General features: G+C 49.4%; 4 annotated features.

The window, feature by feature from the left end:
- Nucleotides 1,291-1,868: an enhancer, noted in NCBI's record as "H3K27ac-H3K4me1 hESC enhancer chr22:41416645-41417222 (GRCh37/hg19 assembly coordinates)". NCBI's record gives its function as "activates a minimal SCP1, AML or CMV promoter by ChIP-STARR-seq in naive H9 embryonic stem cells {active_cell/tissue: H9 hESC(naive)}" and the evidence as "EXISTENCE:reporter gene assay evidence [ECO:0000049][PMID:30033119]".
- Nucleotides 2,364-3,593: a silencer, noted in NCBI's record as "silent region_13776". NCBI's record gives its function as "represses an Ori minimal core promoter by ATAC-STARR-seq in GM12878 lymphoblastoid cells {active_cell/tissue: GM12878}" and the evidence as "EXISTENCE:reporter gene assay evidence [ECO:0000049][PMID:35858748]".
- Nucleotides 2,364-3,599: a biological region, named in NCBI's record as "H3K27ac hESC enhancer GRCh37_chr22:41418377-41418953".
- Nucleotides 3,023-3,599: an enhancer, noted in NCBI's record as "H3K27ac hESC enhancer chr22:41418377-41418953 (GRCh37/hg19 assembly coordinates)". NCBI's record gives its function as "activates a minimal SCP1, AML or CMV promoter by ChIP-STARR-seq in naive H9 embryonic stem cells {active_cell/tissue: H9 hESC(naive)}" and the evidence as "EXISTENCE:reporter gene assay evidence [ECO:0000049][PMID:30033119]".

Here is a 21,944-nt window from a genome sequence, read left to right on the forward strand (position 1 = left end):
CGAGGCAGGCGGATCATGAGGTCAAGAGATCGAGACCATCCTGGCCAACATGGTGAAACTCCGTCTCTACTAAAAATACAAAAAATATTAAATTAGCTGTAGTCCCAGCTACTCGGGAGGCTGACGCGGGAGAATGGCTTGAAGCTGGGAGGCGGAAGTTGCAGTGAGCTGAGATCGCGCCACTGCACCCCAGCCTGGGCGACAGAGCAAGACTCCGTCTCAAAAAGAAAAAAAAGGAGCACTGCCAGTTGGCAAGGAAGGACTCTGTGTGGTGATCTAGGGACAAATGGTGAGACGTCGAGGGAATTGAGGGACATTTCAGGGTAGAATCAATAGGAACTGGACCCTGCCTGAGCTGCTGGTCCTTCTAGCTTCCAGAATGATAACCCCACCCCAAGGTGCCTCTGGCACCTGCTCGGGCAGCACTAGGAATACCACACTGAGACTGTGCATACCCAGCAGGGCAGGGTGGAATGCTCGTTGCCTGTGTAGTTCACCCAGCGGCAGGGCCTGGCTTAACTTCCAACCTGGCCTTGGCTTAACTTCCTGAGTGACCTGTCTCTGCCATCCCCTACCGTGCTCCCGTCTCTATATAAGATGCATGAATTTAGTACCTGAAGTAGTCCCTGGCGCAGCATAGATACTCATGAAGTGGTAGCTGAGTTTTTTTGTTGTTCTTGTTTGTTTGTTTGCTTGTTTGTTGTAGAGACAGGGCCTCACTGTTGCCCAGGCTGGTCTCGAACTCCTGGCCTCAAGCAATCCTCCCATCTTGGCTTGCCAAGGTGCTGGGATTACAGGTGTGAGCCACTGCTCCCAGCCCAGTAGCCAAGATTATTAATTCCTTATGGCTCTGGGGAGCATTCAGAGAGACAAAAGAACACTTCATCCAGTTACTCACTATTCACCTACTGTACAGCTTTGGTCCCTCCCCAGAGCTGGGGGACAGGTCCTGGAGAGGACTAAGTTATACACAGTGTTGAAACTAAAGGAAGATGAAGGCATCAGACACTAAGCACCACAGAACTCAGGACGGCTGCGGAGAAATCGAGTTCCCTTCAGAGCTCATCAAAATTCAGATGTGTAAAGAAAAAAGGATGTTTGTCAGGGTCAGGCTTCTCTTGGTCCACACTGAGCATTTTACCATCATCTGGGAAGAGCACCAAGAGCCATCAGGACACTGGATCTTTTAAAAACATGTGAGGCGAGCCAGGTGTGGTGGCTCACACCTGTAATCCCAGCACTTTGGGAGGCCAAAGCAGGTGGATCACGAGGTCAGGAGTTCAAGACCAGCCTGACCAATATGGTGAAACCCCGTCTCTACTAAAAATACAAAAATTAGCAGGGCGCTGTGGCAGGTGCCTGTAATCCCAGCTACTCGGGAGGCTGAGGTAGGAGAATTGCTCGAACCTGGGCGGCAGAGGTTGCAGTGAGCCAAAACCACGCCACTGCACTCCAGCCTGGGTGAACTGAGTAAGACACTGTCTCAAAAAAAAAAAAAAAAAAAGTGAGGCAAGAGAGACCGTCTCTAAAAAAAGAAAGAAAGAAAGAAAAGAAAAGAAAGGAAAAACAACAGACTGGGCATGTGGCTCACGCCTGTAATTCCAGAATTTGGGGAGGCTGAGGCAGGAGGATTGCTTGAGCCCAGGAGTTTGAGACCAGCCTGGGCAACACGGCAAAACCCCGCCTCTATTCAAAAAAACAAAACCAAAAACCTGTTAGGGAGCAAATCTCCAAGTGCAGGGCAGGACCTGGAGATCCTGGGCTCTCGCCCGCGGAAGGGCCGGGGGTAGGACAGGGCCCTGGGCTGGCTGGCTCCTGGCATCTTCCAGGGCCTGCTTCTGTGGTGACACCTGGCCCCAGGAGGGGAGCCTGCTCTTTTATTGGCTTCACCAGGCCGAGCATGCTGTCTTCATCTCGGCAGCATCCGCCGGCAAAGGGCTGGCGCCGAAGCCTCAGAATATTCGATGGAAGAAGAATGAAAGGAGAGTGACTGGGTCTGTCCCACATTGTGCATTACAGCACATTTTCTAGGTTTGTGTGTGCATTTCCCTCAGGGGCAAGGGGGCCCAGAGACGGGGCTCTTCATTTGATGAGCTCAATGAGTGCCAGGCACTTACGTGTCATTTAAAATTGCCGTTTCCATTATACCGGGAAACTGAGGCTCAGAGAGGTGACTTGATGAGGTCGCACAGATGGTGGGTGGACGCGCTGCCTCAAGCAGTGTCCTGTATACTCTGTCCCTGTGCCTTCGAACCCCTACCCAGTATAAAGGGATTGCGGTGGGGAGAGGCTCCTCAGTCTGTGATAGAAGCAATGAAGGACTCAACCGTCCTGCCCCGCCCCGCCCGGCCTCCTGCTTCTCCCGGTTTCCCTGCCGCAGGCCCCGCTCAACCCCCGCTCTGCCTGCGTCCCGGCCCTCCTTTGCCGCGCCCAGCTCCGAAATGCTGCGGCGGGGGCTCGGCGGGGGCTGGGCGGGGGCCGCAGGGCCACAAGCTCCCCCGCCCCCAGCACCCACTTATGTCCCCTCTGCTCTCCAAACGGGTCCCAGGGCCACACCTGTCTCCTGATCACGACCTGGCCGGAGCCGGGACATGGGCGCCATTTCCGCAGCCCAGCTCGGGTCGCGTCGGTTTTGAAATCAGATAGTCTTTTCTCCCGACTCCAAGGGCGTCTGCCCCGCCCAGGGCTGGGCCGGAGGGGGAGGGGGCGGACACCCCGGGGGCGCGCGCCGCTGGGGGAAGGAGGGGCCCCGAACTTGGAAAAAAGGGAACTCGCACGGAAAAATCAAATCCAAGTGGTCTGCGTTCACCCCTGCTTGGGAGACACAAAGGAAGGGCGCGCGGGGCGGCGGAGGCGCGGGGCTCCGGAGCTGGCTACGCCCGCGGCTCCCGCGCCCGGGCCGCTTCCGCAGAGGACGACAATCCGGGCCGCCTGGGCTGGCTTCGGCCACACCCAGAGGCCGCACCTGGGCCGGCGCCCTCTCTCGGCGCAGCCTCGCGCGCCCGGTCCCCGCCGCGCTCGCGTCCCGGGGGGCGAGTGGGTCCAGATCCCACGAACCCCAGCCGGGACCCGCCCTCCCAAGCTCCGGGGCCAAGGTGGGCCACCTCTCTCTCGGGCTCTTCTCTTTCTGATCTTTTTTATGGCCTAAACTCGAGATCTCCCCACCCTAGTGCCCCCACCCTGCCACCCAACCCAAGGACTGAGTCTGGAGGTCGACCCTGAACCTTCCCTGATCCTCTACGACGTTCCGCGGCCGCAGTCCTCCCGGGCCCCAGGGCTGCAGGTCACGTGCCCGCGGTGGGGGCAGGGAGGGACGCGCAGCGGAGTCTCCGGGCTGCACGTGCAAGGCCTCGGGGAGGGTGGAGCTCTGGCTTCCCGAGCTGCGCTCGCTCCCGGCTTCCGCCGAGGTGCCCGGGGCGCCGGCCTGGAGCAGGCGGGGGTCTGGGTGCCTGGGCTGCGGTCGGGAGCGCCTCCGAAGAAGCACTCGGTGCCTGCCCCGCTGGGAGCGCAAGCATTGTTACCTATCAGCGCCGCACTTAACAGTTGTTAATAGCAGTAAGCCCTCACTAAATTGTCACTGCTGGCAGACCGCAGTAACTCGGTCTGACCTCAAGCACCCGATAAAAGAGTTCTTGTCCGTAAAGTCAGTTACGTAGGAGTTGGTAATCTCGGGTTTTCATTATGGAGAATTTTGAACATAAACAAAAGTCAGGATGGTAAAGTGAGCTCCTGGCGAGCATCCCCCCACACAGAACGAGCAACTCCTGATCCTGTTTTTTTTTTCTTTCCCCAGCCCCTACCCACTGTTCCTCCCTATTATTGTGAAACAAATCCCTGACATCGTGTCATATTTCAGCATATGCCCCCTGAAACAATGGATGAAAGGCCCATTGTTTGTTTAGAAAACTTTTAAAAGTCGGGTAGATAAAAATGTTAGAGTGGAGATAAAAATGTTCCTAGGTGATGATAAAGAGAATTAAAAAGCGGTTAAAGGAGTGAAAAGACTTAAGTGATATCTGTAAGCCGTGCCCATGCTTTCTGGGACATCAGGTGGCCCACGTAAGACCTTGAGCTGGGTGGAGGCAGTGGCGCTGATGAGAAGAGGCTGATTCAGGGAACTAATTGGAGGTGGAAGTGACCAGATTGGCTGATGGATTGTAGTGGGGACTTGAGGAAAAGAGAGCTTCAAGGATGAGACGCTGGCTTGGTTGAAGGGGTTCTTAACTGTAATGGGCAAGGAGCAGATATGAGAGAATGGAGAGATCAAAATAGGGTTTGGCCATGTTACATCTGAGCTGCCTTTTATTTTATTTTTGATACAGGGTCTCTATCAGTCTTCCAGACTTATTGCAGCCTCCACCTTCAGGGCTCAAGTGATCCTCCCATCTCAGCCTCTTGAGTAGCTGGAACTACAGGCATGTGCCACCATGCCTGGCTAATTTGTTTTTTAGTAGAGACAGGGTTTCACCATCTTGGCCAGGCTGGTCTTGAACTTCTGACATTGTGATCTACCCGCCTCGGCCTCCCAAAGTGCCGGGATTACAGGCGTGAGCCACTGCACCCAGCTTAATTTTTGTATTTTTAATAGAGATGGGGTTTCACCATGTTGGCCACGCTGGTCTTGAACTCCTGACCTCGTGATCCATCCGCCTCCGCCTCCCAAAGTGCTGGGATTACAGGCGTGAGCCACCGTGCCCGGCCTATTTATTTATTTTTTGAGACGGAGTCTTGCTCTGTCACCCAGGCTTGAGTGCAGTGGCACGATCTCGGCCCACTGCAACCTCAGCCTCCCAAGTAGCTGGGATTACAGGGTCGTGCCACCACACCCGGCTGATTTTTGTGTTTTTAGTAGAGATGGGGTTTCACCATGTTGGCCAGGCTGGTCTTGAACTCCCGACCTCAGATGATCCACCCGCCTCAGCCTCCCAAAGTGCTGGGATTACAGGTGTGAGCCACTGCGCCTGGCCCTGAGCTGCCTTTTTAATATCAAAGTGGAGAAGTCACACAAAGCAAGTGACAAAGTAAGTTCTCAGAGAAGAGAGCAGGGCTGGAGATAAAAATCCAGGAGTGAAGAGGAGTGAGGAGTGTGTTCAAAATCATGGGACTGGAGTTGGTAGAGATAGTGACTAATGAGACTAGAGAGAAACCGGGGGGCTGTGGTCTCCCAGAAGCCAAGGAAGAATGTGTCCCAAAAAAGAGAGACCTGGCCGGGTGCAGTGGCTCATGCCTGTAATCCCAGCACTTTGGGAGGCTGAGGTAGGTGGATCACCTGAGGTCAGGAGTTCGAGACCAGCCTGACCAACGTGGAGAAACCTCGTCTCTACTAAAAATACAAAATTAGCTGGGCGTGGTGGTGCATGCCTGTAATCCCAGCTACTTGGGAGGCTAAGGCAGGAGAATCGCTTGAACCCAGGAGGCAGAGGTTGCGGTGAGCTGAGATGGCGCCATTGCACTCCAGCCTGGGCAACAAGAGCGAAACTCCGTCTCAAAAATAAAAATAAAGAAAGAAAGAGAGATCCACAGTGTGAAATGCCAGCAAGAGGTCAGGTAGAAGGACAAAAGAGTGACCACTGGATTTAGTAACATGGACTCCCTTGGTGACCTTGGCAAGGGCAGTGTCAAAGGATTGACAGAGCTGAAAGCCAAACCACAGAGAATGGGTGAGGGAGTCATAGATTAATCTTTGAAGAAATTTTGATGTGAAGGGCATGAGGTCAAGATACATTTAGAAAACAAAACCCAAAAGAAAACCACCTTTTGGTACAGAAAATTTATTTAATTATTTTTATTTCTTTTTTTGAGATGGAGTCTTGCTCTGTCGCCCTGGCTGGAATGCAGTGGCACGATCTCAGCTCACTGCAACCTTCACCTCCCGGATTTAAGCAGTTCTCCTGCCTCAGCCTCCCGAGTAGCTGGGACTACAGGTGCCTGCCATCACGCTGGGCTAATTTTTGTATTTTTTAGTAAAGACAGGATTTCACCATGTTGGCCAGGCTGGTCTTGAACTCCTGACCTCAAGTGATCCACCCGCCTTGACCTCCCAAAGTGCTGGGATTACAAGCGTGAGCCACTGCACCCGGCCAGTACAGAAAAATTAAAACTCACACAAAAAGGAGCAAATAATATTATGTACCCATACCTATCATCCAGCTTCAGTGATTATCAACATATAGCCAATCTTGTTTTGTCTTTGTCTGCCTTGCTATTTTAAAGCAAAACTCAGAATTCATTCTATTTCTATCAAAAATATTACTAGACTTCAGAATGTATCTCTAGGAGATTAGGATTCAATCTTTAATAATAGTCAAGGACTTTTCTTTAACATATCTATAATACAATTATCACACCTAAAAATAATTAACAGTAATTCCTTAATATCATCTAATATCCAGTCACCAGTGTTCACATTTTCCTGATTGTCTCATAAATGATTTTTTTTTATAATTGGGTTGTTATAATCACCATCCAAATAGGTCCATGTATTGTATTTGGCTGATATGTCTCTTAAGCCCCTTTTAACCCATAGCATTTCCTCTTCCTCCTTTAAACAAAATGTAGTCCTAGCACTTTGGGAGGCCAAGGCGGGTGGATCATGATGTCAGGGGATCAAGACCAGCCTGGCCAATGTGGTGAAACCCTGTCTCTACTAAAAAGACAAAAATTACCTGGGCATGGTGGCACGTGCCTGCAGTCCCAGCTGCTTGGGAGGCTGAGGCAGGAAAATCACTTGAACCAGGAGGCAGAGGTTGCAGTGAGCTGAGATCATGCCGCTGCACTCCAGCCTAGGCAACAGAGCGAGACTCCGTCTCAAAAAAAAAAAAAAAAAAAGAAAGAAACCAGATCATGGCTGGGCACGGTGGCTGGCCAGACGCAGTGGCTCACGCCTGTAATCCCAATACTTTGGGAGGCCAAGGCGGGCAGATCGCTTGAGGTCAGGAGTTCGAGACCAGACTGGCCAACATGGTGAAACCCCGTCTCTACTAAAAATACAAAAATTAACTGGACATGGTGCCAGGCGCCTGAAAACCCAGCTACTTGAAAGGCTGAGGCAGAAGAATCGCTTGAACCCGGGAGGTGGAGATTGCAGTGAGCAGTGATCGCACCACTGCACCCCAGCCTGGGTGACAGAGCGAGACTCCGCCTCAAAAAATAGAAAAACAGAAAACAGATCATTTGTCCTTGAGAATTTCTCACATTCTGGGTTTGCACTGTCATGAGGATGCCATTGGCAGTAAGTCTGGTTGTCTCTGTGACTGGCCAGCGGATTCAGGAGTTGTCTGCCTCATCCGTCCATTGTCAGTCTCTCATCAGCCTTTCACGGTCACCCCATCAGCATTACGACCCCAATCAAAGTACTCTGGAAAGACAATGATGGAGAGAAATCCTCCCAAGGGGCAGAACTTGGAGCAGAATATTTAATTGTCCATATGGTTAGGACTTGGAGATGGCCTGAAATTGGACTAATGGTCAGTGGCTAACACACCTGAAAGAACAGGACTGGAAGATAGGCAACAGGAAATCTGGGGAAAAGGTACATGTGGATGGACCTCTCAGAACAGACACAGTGAACAGTGTTCCATGTGAATAGTCTCCAAGGGACATTTACTGCAGAAGAGGCTCTCAGTAATCAAGTGGACAAAGCGACGTATTCCGTGGATGTCACTCAACCTCTTTCCCCAGCCAACCTGGTGCTTGTTTGGTGGATCTATGGGACAGAGGTGTGGGCTAGACAGGGACCAAACAAGACCATCCCCTTATCAAGACTGACCTGGTTACTACTATTTTTTTTTTTTTAAGACAGAGATTCGCTCTTGTTGCCCAAGCTGGAGTGCAATGGCACGATCTCGGCTCACTATAACCTTCGCCTCCCAGGTTCAAGCAATTCTGCCTCAGCCTCCCGAGTAGCTGGGGTTACAGGCATACACCACCACACCTGGCTAATTTTTTGTATTTTTAGTAGAGATGTGGTTTCACCATGTTGGCCAGGCTGGTCTCGAACTCCTGACCTCAGGTGATCTGCTCTCCTCACCCTCCCAAAGTGCTGGGATTACAGGTGTGAGCCACCACGTCCGGCTGGTTACTACTATTCCTGAGTGTTTAACCCTCCAACAGCAGAGACCAAGACTGAATCCTCCTCTCCCCTCAACATGCCGCCATACCCCAGAGGGACCAGCCAGCCACCTGCTGGACATTGATTACACTGGAATCATAAACCTTCCATCATGGAGGAGACAGCAGTTTGCTTTCACTAGAATAAATGTGTTGTGGATAGGATCGGCCTTCCCTGTCTATTGCTTCTGCCAGTGCCACTGTCCATAGACTTTCAGAATGCCTTACACACTTTCAAGGTAATCCATACAACAGTGCTTCTGATCAAAAAAATAATTTCTGGCCGGGCGCAGTGGTTTACGCCTGTAATCCCAGCATCTTGGGAGGCCGAGGCAGGTGGATCACTTGAGGTCAGGAGTTTGAGATCAGCCTGGCCAACGTGGTGAAACTTTGTCTCTACTAAAAATACAAAATTAGTCAGGCATGGTGGCGGGCGTGCCAGTAATCCCAGTTACTCAAGAGGCTGAGGCAGGAGGATCACTTGAATCCAGGAGGCGGCGGTTACAGTGAGTGAAGATCGCATCACTGCACTCCAGCCTGGGCGACAGAGCAAGACTCCATCTCAAAAACAAAACAAAAAATTTCCTAGATTGGGGACGGTAGCTTATTCCTGTAATCCCGGCAATATGGGAGGCCAAGGCAGGAGGATCACTTGAGCCCAGGCGTTCAAGAACAGCCTGAACAACATAGAGAGATGCCATCTCTACAAAAAAAAATTAAAATTAGCTAGGCGTGGTGGCCTGGCTACTAGGGAGGCTGAGGCAGGGGGATCACTTGAGCCTAGGAGGTCAAGGCTGCAGTGAGCCCTGATAGCATGACTGCACTCTAGCCTGGGCGACAGAGTGCGACCCCATCTCTCAAAAACAACAGGTTGGGCACGATGGCTCACGCCTGTAATCCCATCACTTTGGGAGGCCGAGGCAGGTAGATCCCCTGAGGTCAGGACTTTGTGACTAGCCTGGCCAACATGGCAAAGCCCCTTCTCTACTAAAAATACAAAAATTAGCCGGGTATGGCGGCAGGCACTTGCTATTCCAGATACTCGGGAGGCTGAGGCAGGAGAATCACTTGAATCTGGGAGGCAGAGGTTGCAGTGAGCTGAGATTGTGCAATTGCACTACAGCCTGGACCACAAGAGGGAAACTGTCTCAAAAACAAAAAACAAAACAAAAAAAATCAAACAACAACAACAACAAAAATTCCTAGCAAAAGCATAGCAGCAATTCACTAATATTACCATGTAGTCCATCGCCCAAAAGCAGCTGGCCTGAAGGAATGCTAGCATGGCCTATTGAAGATTCTGTTCTGGTCCCAGTTGAGAAAAACTGCCTGAAAAGAATGGGATCTGTCTTACACAATGCAGTATATGCTGTGAACCAGTGGTCAATATATAATGCTATTTGAAGGTCTGGAAGTAGGAGTAGCTCCTCTCGCTATTACACCTATTTTTAACTCCTGCTCCCATAGCTTTGAGCTCTGATGAAAGGTCTTAGTTCTCAAGAGAGGAGTATTTGCTAACAAGAGGGGACACAAGTATGGTTTCATTGAATTGGAATCTGGACATTTTGCTCTTCTCAGCTGGTAAGAAAGAGGTTACTCTACTGGCCAGGATGACTCATTCTGATTACCAAATTGAGTTGTTGCTTTACAATGCGGGCAGCAAAACTATGTCTGAAACACAGAAGATTCTGTGTGGCACCTCTTAGTAATTCCATGCCCGCTAGTAAAAATTAATGGGGAATAAAAAAGTTAATGGGAAATTAAAGCAACCCTAACAAAGCAGGACCCCTGAGAATTCAGACCCTTTTGAAATGAAGTTTGGATGTCCAGCGCAATCACAGAACAAAAATGAAAGGGGCCTGGTGTGGTGGCTCGCGCCTGTAATTCTAGGATTTTGGGAGGCCCAGGTGGGCAGATCACTTGAGATCAGGAGTTCAAGACAAGCCTGGCCAACATGGTAAAACCCTGTCTCTACTAAAAATACAAAAATTAGCCAGGCGTGGTGGCAGCACCTAAAATTCCAGCTACTTGGGAGGCTGAGGCAGGATAATTGCTTGAACCTGGGAGGCAGAGGTTGCAGTGAGCCAAGATCGCATCTTTGCACTCCAGCCTGGGCAACAAGAGTGAAACTCCATCTCAAAAAAAAAAAGAGAGAAAGAAAAAGAAAGGAAGGAAGGAAGGAAGGAGAGAAAGAAAACGTACTAGAAGAGGCAATTTATGAATATTAACCACAGCCTCGTGAGCAGTTACAGACCTGATACAGAGGATTACAGCAGCTATGCACTGCCGTGGTGCCTTTAGACATCATGCTAACATTCTATCAGACCAGCAGCTTCAAAGTGATGGGCTATAAGGTAGGATCAGTGTCAAGCTATTGAGGTTCTTTCAGACTATATTGTGATGGAAAGCAGGAGAGGTAGCCCTGGTGTACCCTGGGAATGTGGCCTGCTATCCATCCAGTTAAATGCAATTTGCTTTGAGCTTTTTTTCGGGTAGCCATCGAAAAGAATACATTTGCCAGATCAATAGTAGCCTACTGGGTGCCAGAGGCTGTGTTGCTCTATAATGGTCAAGATACTACTTCCTCAAGGGAACTTGGCCTCCCCTTTCATTCGATGGGTTTTGGGCATAAGAGCCTCTCAAATAGGTGAGAGATTGAGATTTTCCAATTTAATGGCTGACATCAGCCATCTGCCAAGACTGTCACTACAGATCTGTATGCTAAAGATCACCTCATTGTCATTCCAGCTTTGTTCCCCATTACAGTAATTGTGTCTACCCTGTCTCTGACGATTAAGTGCTACCACCTGACCTCTGCTGTTTTCAAATCCTACCATCTGTATTGGGGCACCAGGGAGTCCAGGTCCATAGCTGCTTCTTTTATGTAAACCCTGGCCCAAAAGGACAGCTACCATAGAGTTTCTCAACAATGTTGACCCTTCACTGGTGCATTCTGTGTTGCTTTAGTGAAGATGGTGTCTTCTAGAGGTCGTGGTCAGCTCTCAGGTTCTCTGCTTTTACATAATAAATCCATTCTCATGGCTTTCTCAGCTTTTTGGTCCCTTCCTCCACACCCTGCAAAGGCAAGTCCAGCATCTCCACCCAACTCACTGTAGAATATCATTGTTTCCAAGCTTTATAAGGAGTAACTCCAGAGGGTATTAGAACTGACCACAGGCCAGGCACAGTGGCTCACCCCTGTAATCCCAGCACTTTGGGAGGCCGAGGCAGGCGGATCACCTGAGGTCAGCAGTTCAAGACCAGCCTGGCCAACACGGTGACAGAGCAAGACTTCATCTCAAAAAAAAAAAGAGGGCCAGGTGTGGTGGCTCACGCCTGTAATCCCAGCACTTTGGGAGGCCGAGGTGGGCCGATCACCTGAGGTTGGAAGTTCAACACCAGCCTGACCAACACGGAGAAACCCCGTCTCTACTAAAAATACAAAATTAGCCAGGTGTGGTCATGCATGTCTGTAATCCCAGCTACTCAGGAGGCTGAAGCAGGAGAATCGCTTGAACCTGGGAGGCGGAGGTTGTGGTAAGCTGAGATTGCACCATTACACTCCAGCCTGAGCAACAAGAGCGAAACCCCATCTCAAAAAAGAAAAACAAAAACAAAAAAAGAACTGACCACAGGAGTCTTGGACGGGATATTAAATCCTGAGTCATGAGAGGGTTCCCTCATATCAGTAAACTCTCCCAATGCCAGCTTTATAATCCACTCTCCCTGGTCCAACACTGTCAAGATTCATTCCTAGGCATGTTCTGCTTGTCCTGCTGGAACACACTAGCCAAGTTCTGAAGCTCTTTTGCTAAGACCTGACCTTAGTTTTTGGTCTAGAAGCCTTGACGGCAAGAAAAGGTAGATCTCAAGGAGGGCAAGTGTCATTGTCCAAGACATCTGCCTTTCTTTTTTTTTTTTTTTTTTTTTTTTTTTTGAGATGGAGTCTCACTGTGTCGCCCAGGCTGGAGTGCAGTGGTGCGATCTCGGCTCACTGCGAACTCCGCCCCCCGGTTTCACACCATTCTCCTGCCTCAGCCTCTCAAGTAGCTGGGACTACAGGCGCCCACCACCATGCCTGGCTAATTTTTTGTATTTTTTTTAGTAGAGACAGGGTTTCACCATGTTAGCCAGGATGGTCTCAATCTTCTGACCTCGTGATCCACCCGCCTCGGCCTCCCAAAGTGCTGGGATTACAGGCATGAGCCATTGCGCCTGGCCTTGACATCTGCCTTTCATGAGAACTTTGCATGGTCTCCAGGTAATGGGAATCCCTCTACTACTTTCCCCTAGCACAGGGTTGGGGCCAGTTCTGCTGTCCCAGATGGTTAAAGTGAATCTGAAATTTTAAGGTTCTCAGCTGCATCTGCTCAAATGTTGCTTCTAGGTCTCGGAGACCCATTCCCCTCCAGTCCCTAGCATGGTGACACCATACTGAGGCTGTGAATTTGACCTCCTTTGCAACTCTTCCACTCTTAAAATCTTGGGCCAGATTTTCAGTACTCTCCATCTTCTGGTTACAGGAGATAGGACTCTCTTTAAATGCCTCCAGAGAGACTTTTCGGCTTTCACAGCATGCTCTGAGTGGATAGTTGGCTGCCTTGAGCCTATTATTTTTAAATTTTTTTCCTTGGGCTTTTTTTTCTTTCAAAATAAAATAAAATAAAATAACAGGGTCTTGCTCTGTTGCCCAGGCTGGAGTGTAGAGGCTTGATCCTGGTTCACTGCAGCCTCAAACTCCTGAGCTCAAGAGATCCTCTGGCCTCAACCTCCCAAGTAGCTAGGACTACAGGTGCATGCCACTACACTCAGCTTATCTTTTTTTTTTTTTCTTTTGAGACAGGGCCTCACTCTGTTGCCCAGGTTGGAGTGCAGTGGCACAATCACAGCTCACTGCAGCCTCAACCTCCTGGGCTCAAGTGATCCTCCCACCTCAGCACCCTGAGTAGCTGGGACTACATTACGGGTGCACACCACACCCGGCTAATATTTGGTATTTTTAATAGAGACAGGGTTTCACTCTGTTGCCCAGGCTGGTCTCGAACTCCGGGACTCCAGTGATCTGCCCTCCTCAGCTTCCCAAAATTGGCTTTTATAAAGAGTTGGCAGTTAAAATAGCCAAGCAGTTCACAATCCTTCCAGTAACTATTATCCTCATATGTTTCAAGTGATAGCGTTGTTGGCCTGAGCCAGTGCATCTTCTGCCAGCTGTACCCCATCTTCATTTACCAAAGGTGAGACTCAGTAGCTGTGCCAGTGCCTCATGCTGGGGGTTATCCCCACCCAGCTGAATATCAATAACAGGCTCCTTCTTGCCATCTGACTGGCTAATGATCCAGTTCCAAAACTGCATCCTGAGAGCTTTATTTCTGGAGCCACTTCCAATAAGATCTTGTTTTAGCTTCCATCAAATGCAGATCCTTAGGCAAGGATTTGAGAGCAGGTAGCTTATTTAAAAAATGAACCCTGGGGCTTGGCACAGTGGTTCACACCTGTAATCCCAACAGTTTGGGATGCCGAGGAGGGTGGATCACCTGAGGTCAGGAGTTCAAGACCAGCCTGGCCAACATGGTGAAACCCCCGTCTCTACTAAAAATACAAAAATTAGCTGAGCGTGGTAGCTTACACCTGTAGTCCCAGCTACTTAGGAGGCTGAGGTACGAGAATCACTAGAACACAGGAGGCAGAGGCTGCAGTGAGCCGAGATCACGCCACTGCACTCCAGCCTGGGCAACAAAGTGAGATGCGGTCTCAAAAAAAGGAAAAAAGATCCCTGGAAACACCTGTTGATTAGTGGGAAAGTGCACCGGGAATGGTAAGGAAGCTGATATACTGGGTGTGGTTGATATACAGGATCCGCTATTTTTATTGTATTGTATTGTATTGTATTGTATTGTATTGTATTGTATTGTATTGTATTGTATTGTATTTTTGAGATGGAGTTTCACTCTTGTTGCCCAGGCTGGAGTGCAATGGCATGATCTCAGCTCACCGCAACCTCAGCCTCCCGGGTTCAAGCGATTCTCCTACCTCAGCCTCCTGAGTAGCTGGGATTACAGGCATGCACCACCATGGCCAGCTAATTTTATATTTTTAGTAGAGACGGGGTTTCTCCATGTTGATCAGGCTGGTCTTGAACTCCCAACCTCATGTGATCTGCCCACATCGGTCTCCCAAAGTGCTGGGATTACAGGCATGAGCCACTGCACCCGGCCTATTTTATTTTATTATTATTATTATTTTTTTTTTTTTTTGAGACAGAGTCTTGCTCTTGTCGCCCAGGCTGGAGTGCAATGGTGCGATCCTGGCTCACTGCAACCTCCACCTCCCAGGTTCAAGTGATTCTCCTGCCTCAGCCTCCCAAGTAGCTGGGATTACAGGCGCCTGCCACCACGCCTGGCTAATTTTTGTATTTTTAGTAGAGACGGGGTTTCACCATATTGGCCAGGCTGGTCTTGAACTCCCGACCTCAGGCAATCCACCCACCTCAGCCTCCCAAAGTGCTGGGATTACAGGCGTGAGCCACCGTGCCCGGCTTATTTTATTATTATTATTATTTAATTTTTTTAATATTTATTTTATTTTATTTTTATATTTTGAGACAGAGTCTTGCTCTGTTGCCCAGGCTGGAGTGCAGTGGCTCCATCTTGGCTCACTGCAACCTCCACCTCCCGGGTTGAAGCGATTCTCCTGCCTCAGCCTCTCCAGTAGTTGGGATTACAGGCACTTGCCACCACACCTGGCTTATTTTTGTATTTTTTAATAGAGACAGGGTTTCACCGTGTTGGCCAGGCTTGTCTGGAACTCCTGACCTCAGGTAATCCACCTGTCTTGGCCTCCCAAAATGCTGGGATTATAAGGCATGAGCCACCGCACTCGGCCCAGGGTCCATTAATGAGTGGTTACCCTTTTGACAACTAGAGTCCCATCTCAGCTCCCATCTAGGTGGTGTGGAGCACTCCTCAGGGTTGTTCTACTCTAGGAGTAAGATACTTAGCATTTGTTCACTAACTCCCACCTTTCATCATTTGGGGCTTCTCCTGGGAACGTTAACTTTCTAGCACTTCCTTACTGCCCGTGTTCAGGCTGAGCATGTTCCTGTGGCCAGAGAAAGCCCTGCAGGATTCGAGTCCTGGTGCATGCAGCAGGAAGCCTTGGGGTACACAGGAACAGTGAGTGCTGCAAGGATATGCGAGAGGTGACATAGTGTGTGTCACACACAGCTTTCTCAGCAGTCTAGGTCTCAGCTCCATGGAGCCGCTCTTCCAGGCTTTTAAGTTCTGTAACCTCAGCCTCTTGCCTTTGTTTTCCCACTTCTATGGGTGGTAGCTGCTTTCTGCATCTTGGCCGTGCCTGTTTGTGGATGGTCCCTGCTGACACTGATTTCTTTTCCCTTCCCTTTTTTTTTTTTTTTTTTTTTTGAGACAGGGTCTTGCTGCGTCACCCAGGCTGGGGTACAGTGGCGTAATCACAACTCATTTCAGCCTTGACTTCCCAGGCTGAAGTGATCCTCCCACCTCAACCTCCTGAGTAGCTGGGGCTGGGACTACAGGCATGTGCCACCACCTCCAGCTAATTTTCCCTTCCTTCCTTCCTTCCTTCCTTCCTTCCTTCCTTCCTTCCTTCCTTCCTTCCTTTCTTCCTTCCTTCTCTCTCTCTCTTTCTCTCTTTCCAGATGGGGGGGTCTCACTATGTCACCCAGGCTGGTCTCAAACTCCTGGGCTCAAGTGATTCTCCCACCTCAGCCTCCCAAAATGCTAAGATTACAGGCATGAGCCATAGCACCCACCCTTTCCCTTCTGTCTCTGTTCCATCCTCAGCTTTATTCAGCAAACACTCTACTGACCAGGGCAGTCCAGTGCCTGTGCTAGAGTGGGTCGTGCTGGGATGTCTGTCCTTTGTTTCAAGAGAACTCTGATCTTGCGGTCTAAACTTTGGGACTGGCTTGAACCTTCATGGGTATAGATTTTAGGAATCTTGGTGCACCCTCTGCTCCACTGATTGAACTTCCCTGTGGCTTCAGACATACCTTGCGGTTCCATACCTGGGGGCCTTTGCTTGTGATGTTCTTTTTGCCAAGAGCATTGTTCCTCCTGTTCCTTCTTATTATCGTGACAAACTTCTGCCCCTCTCTCAAGACCTAACTGAGGCCAGGTGCAGTGGCTCATGCCTGTAATCCCAGCATTTTGGGAGACCGAGGTAGGTGGATCACCTGAGGTTGGGAGTTCGAGACCAGCCTGGCCAACATGATGAAACCCCGTCTCTACTAAAAATACAAAAATTAGTTGGGCATGGTGGCGCACACCCGTAATCCCAGCTACTCAGGAGGCTGAGGCATGAGAATCGCTTGAATCCAGGAGGTGGAGGTTGCAATGGGCCGAGATCCAAAATCATGCCACCACACTCCAGCCTGAAGGACAGATTCAGACTTTCTCTCAAAGGAAAAAAAAAGTCCCAACTGAAATGTCCCCTCTCCTTTCCTTGACTTTCCTAAACAGGACAGTAGCTTCCTCCTTGCAATTTACATATGCACAGATGCATCTGTTATGGCCTGTATTACAACCCTTTTTTTTTTTTTTCTTTTTGAGATGGAGTCTTGCTCTGTCAGCCAGGCTGCAGTGTAGTGGTATGATCTCGGCTCACTGCAACCTCCACCTCCCGGGTTCAAGAGATTCTCCTGCCTCAGTCTCCCAAGGGGTTGGGATTATAGACGCCTGCCACCACGCCCAGCTAATTTTTGTATTTTTAGTAGAGATGGGGTTTCACCGTGTTGGCCAGGTTGGCCTCGAACTCCTGACCTCAGGTGATTCGCCCGCCTCGGCCTCCCAAAGTTCTGGAATTACAGGCATGAGCCACCACGCCCGGCCTTTTTTTTTTTTTTTGAGGCGGAGTTTCACTGTTGTTACCCAGGCTGGAGTGCAGCGGGGCAATCTCGGCTCACTACAACCTCTGCCTCCTGGGTTCAAGCGATTCTCTTGCCTCAGCCTCCCAAGTAGCTGGGATTACAGCCGCCCACCACCACGCATTGGCTAATTTTTTGTATATTTAGTACAGATGGGGTTTAGATGGGGCCAGGCTGGTCTCCAACTCCTGACCTCAGGTGATCCACTCACCTTGGCTTCCTCAAGTGCTGTGATTACAGGCGTCAGCCGCTGCGCCCGACCTACAACTTTTTTTTTAGTATATTTTTCTTTTTTTTTTTTTTTTCTGAGACAGAGTCTCTGTCGCCCAAGCTAGAGTACAATGGCATGATCTTGGCTCACTGTAGCCTCCACCTCCCGGGTTCAAATGATTCTCCTGCCTCAGCCTCCTGCATAGCAGGCACGCACCACCATATCCGGCTATTTTCTGCATTTTTACTAGAGATGGTGTTTCACTATGTTGGGCAGGCTGGTCTCGAACTCCTGACCTCAGGTAATCTGCCCACCTTGGCCTCCCAAAGTGCTGGGATTATAGGCATGAGCCACTGCGCCCGGCCTTTAGTCTGTTTTTCTCCTTCCCAGAGTATGACCTCCTTTGGGGCCTCATTCATCCCTGTGTCTTCATTCATTCATTCAACAAATCTTTTCTGAGTGCTTGCCTATCCCAGGCGTGGGAGCAGCTCACTCAATGTCTACTGAAGGGATGAATGAATTGGCGAGAGGTTGCTACCCCAATAGATGTTGTGTTGCTAGGTTACAGACTCTAGTGAGGATTGGAGAGGAGGGGGCGTGAATGCTGTTGTGTGAAATGAGAGTGAGCGTCTACACATATTCCTGCAGGATCAGGGAAACTTTGTGGGTGGAAATTCCATACTTCAGTACTGACAGTGTGGCAGGAGTGAGGTTTGGGTTTCTGACGGTGACTTTCATTATGTGTGGGGAGAGGATGGGAAGAAGGACGGTAGGAAGGAGTTGTGTTAGAGTCTTTTCAGTATACAAAAGTAGTTTGAAAAATCTTTCAGAGAATATTCTTCCATCATACCTCAAGTTGAGAATTAGTGAATTAAAAGCTTTCTAAGGTGGGGTACAGCGGCTCATGCCTGTAATCCCAATCCTGAACCTTTGGTAGGCTTAGACGAGAGGATTACTTAAGCCCGGGAGTTCCAGGCCAGCCTGGGCAACATAATGAGACCTCCATCTCTACAAAAAATAAAATAAAATTAGCTGGGCATGGTGGCACATGCCTGTGGTTTCAGCTACATGGGAGGCTAAGGCAGGAGGATCACTTGAACCTGGGAGATCAAGGCTGCAGGTGAGCTATGATCTCACCTCTGCAGTCCAGGTGGGGCAACAGAGCAAAACCAGCTTTCCTTTTTTTTTTTTTTTTTTTTTTTTTGAGGTGGAGTCTCGCTCTGTTGCCCAGGCTGGAGTGCAATGGCACAATCTCAGCTCACTGCAAGCTCCGCCTCCCGGGTTCACGCCATTCTCCTGCCTCAGCCTCCCAAGTAGCTGGGACTGCAGGCAGATGCCACCACACCCGGCTAATTTTTTTTATTTTTAGTAGAGACGGGGTTTCACCGTGTTAGCCAGGATGGTCTGGATCTCCTGACCTCGTGATCCGCCTGCCTCGGCTTCCCAAAGTGCTGGGATTACAGGTGTGAACCACCGCACCCAGCCTAAGACCAACTTTCTTTTCTTTTTTTTTTAGACAGAGTCTCACTCTGTTGCCCAAGCTGGAGTGCAGTGGCACCATCTCGGCTCACTGCAACCTCCGAGCCTCCCGGGGTCAAGTGATTCTCCTGCCTCAGCCTCCTGAGTAGCTGAGACTACAGACACCTGCCACCACACCGACTAATTTTTGTATTTTTAGTAGAGACGGGGTTTCACCCTATTGGCCAGGCTGGTCTCAAACTCCTGACTTTGTGATCCACCCGCCTCAGCCTCCCAAAGTGCTGGGATTACAGGCATGAGCCACTGCACCTGGCCAAGACCTGCTTTCTAAATAAATAAATAAATAAATAGGCTAGGCCAGGTGCGAAAGCTCACATCTGTAATCCCAGCATTTTGGGAGGTCAAGGTGAGTGGATCACCTGAGGTCAGGAGTTTGAGGCCAGCCTGGCCAAGATGGCGAAACCCCATCTCTACTAAAAATACAAAAATTAGCCAGGTGCGATTGCATACGCCTGTAGTCCCAGCTACTTGGGAGGCTGAGGCAGGAGAATCACTTGAACCTGGGAGGCGGAGGTTGCAGTGAGGCAAGATCGCGCCACTGCACTCCAGCCTGGATGACAGAGGGAGACTCCACCTCAAAAATAAATGAATAATAAAGACTAAGAAAAAAAGAGTCTACATAGATGCCTGCCAGGACCAGGCACAAAAATGTAAGTGAGAGGCAGTGATTGGTGGAGAATGTGGCTCCTGTCTGGAGGGAGTCATTGCTACTTAGCACCAAGCAGAAGCCTCCGGAGGAACTGTGGGCCCAGTGTTGCAAGACCTTCCAATTTTTCGGTAGAGGCTACAATTCCAGGTTTTAATGTGAGATCATCCCCAGGCACTGCTCCCTGCCGACGCTCTCCCTGGACACAAGGTACTCTTCCTTCTTACTCTTTCTCTGATTGGCTCTTTGCACATGTCTCATTGGCAGGGAGGAAGAAGAGAGAGAAAGAATTGGAACTAGAAGGGGAAACTGTGAATCTCCACAGCTACTGAATGACCATTTCTACATGCTTTTTGTGGGGGAAGGGAATTTAATGGTACAGAATTTACAAAACACCAAATACAACCCCAAACTCCTGCCACTGACCCCAGCCTAGGTGGATGGGTGTCAAGAGATTAAATTGCTGCATGGTTGCCTTGGCAACCAAATTTGTTAGTGATAAAACAACAGAGAGAAAGCTGCAACTTACAACCCAGATTTATGTAGTAAAACAAAATCCTATGGCCACAAGCTGGGTGCATTGGCTCATACCTGTAATCCCAGCATCTTGGGAGGTCAAGGCAGGAGAATGGCTTGAGCCCAGGAGTTTGAGACCAACCCAGGCAACAGTGAGACCCCTGTCTCTCTCTAAAAAAAAAAATATATATATATATATATCCTGTGGCCGGGAGCTGTGGCTCACTCTGTAATCCCAGGACTTTGGGAGGTCAAGGTGGGAGGATTGCTTGAACCCAGGAGTTTCAGACCAGCCTGGGCAACATGGGGAGACCTCATCTCTTAAAAAAAAAAAAATGAAAAAATTAGCCTGGCATGGTGGGGCACACCTGTGGTCCCAGCTACTCAGGAGGCTGAGGTGGGAGGATCGCTTCAGCCCAGGAGGTCGAGGTGCAATAAGCCATGATCATGCCACTACACTCTAGCCTGGTGACAAAAGGAGACCTTGTGTCAAAAAAAAAAAAAAAAAAGAAGAAGAAGAAGAAGAAAGAAAAGAAAAGAACAGAAAGAGGGAGGGGCCAGGCACAGTGGCTTGCGCCTGTAATCCCGGCACTTCGGGAGGCCAAGGCGGGCGGATCACTTAAGGTCAGGAGTTCAAGACATGCCTGCCCAAAATGGTGAAACCCCATCTCTAATAAAAATACAAAAAAATTAGCCAGGCATGGTGGTGCACACCTGTGATCCCAGCCACTCGGGAGGCTGAGGCAGAAGAATCGCTTGAACCTGGGAGACAAAGGTTGCAGTGAGCGCAGATCACGCCACTGCATTCCTGCACTCCATCCTGGGCAACAAAGCGAGACTCCAGGTCAAGAAAAAAAAAAAAAAGAAAAAGAAAGACCTGTCTGTCTGAGGTGAGGCTCTCTGGGAAGAAGTGAGGTGGTTTCTTTCTTTTTTTTCTTGAGACGGAATTTCACTCTTGTTGCCCAGGCTGGAGTGCAATGGTGGGATCTCGGCTCACCGCAACCTCCACCTCCCGGGTTCAAGTGATCCTCCCACCTCAGCCTGCCAAGTAGCTGAGACTAAGGCACATACCACCACACTCAGCTAATTTTTGTAATTTTTGTAGAGATGCAGTCTCGCCACGCTGCCCAGGCTGGTCTCAAACTGCTGGACTCAAGCAATCCATCTGCCTCAACCTCTCAAAGTGCTGGGATTACAGGCATGAGCTACCACACCTGGCCCTTCTCTGTTTTATTAGAAGGTAAAAAGATACTCCCTTGGCTGAATTCTGACATTGACTGAACATGGGTGAAGCCAATCAGTTAAGGCTCTGCTATTTCCGAAGGGAGGATGTAGTTTGTGGGAGCCACTGTACATAGTGGGCCACAGAAATTATTTCCTAATGTTCCAGCCCCCAAATGAGAGTATTATGCAATAACTTTCATTATGTCTTTCCTTAAAATCTGTTATTTCTTGGTTTCTTTTTTCTTCATAAAACTAGTATTACATTATGGAAAATTTGGTAACATACAACTTGATTTTGTGTATTTCTTTTTAGTCTTCTTTTTCCTTTATTAGGTATATTTCAGTTTTCTAATATCATTGTAGTCATATTGTATGTGTTATTTTATTTATTTATTTATTTTTGAGACAGAGTCTTGCTCTGTCGCCCAGGCTGGAGTGCAGTGGTGTGATTTCAGCTCACTGTAAGCTCCGCCACCCGGGTTCATGCCATTCTCCTGCCTCAGCCTCCCAAGTAGCTGGGACTGCAGGCACCCACCACCATGCCCGGCTAATTTTTCTATTTTTAGTAAAGACGGGGTTTCAGCGTGTTAGCTATGATGGCCTCGATCTCCTGACCTCATGATCCGCCCGCCTCGGCCTTCCAAAATGCTGGGATTACAGGCGTGAGCCACCATGCCAGCCTGTATGTTTGATTATAGATTTCCCTTTTCTCACTTGGTATCATAGAAAAGCGTTTTTAACTTAGAAGAGTAAATAAAATAAGCTTTTGCATGCATAAACATATGCAATGAGCCAGG

This window comes from Homo sapiens, chromosome 22, assembly GCF_000001405.40.
Source record: "Homo sapiens chromosome 22, GRCh38.p14 Primary Assembly".
NCBI classification, from domain to species: domain Eukaryota; kingdom Metazoa; phylum Chordata; class Mammalia; order Primates; family Hominidae; genus Homo; species Homo sapiens.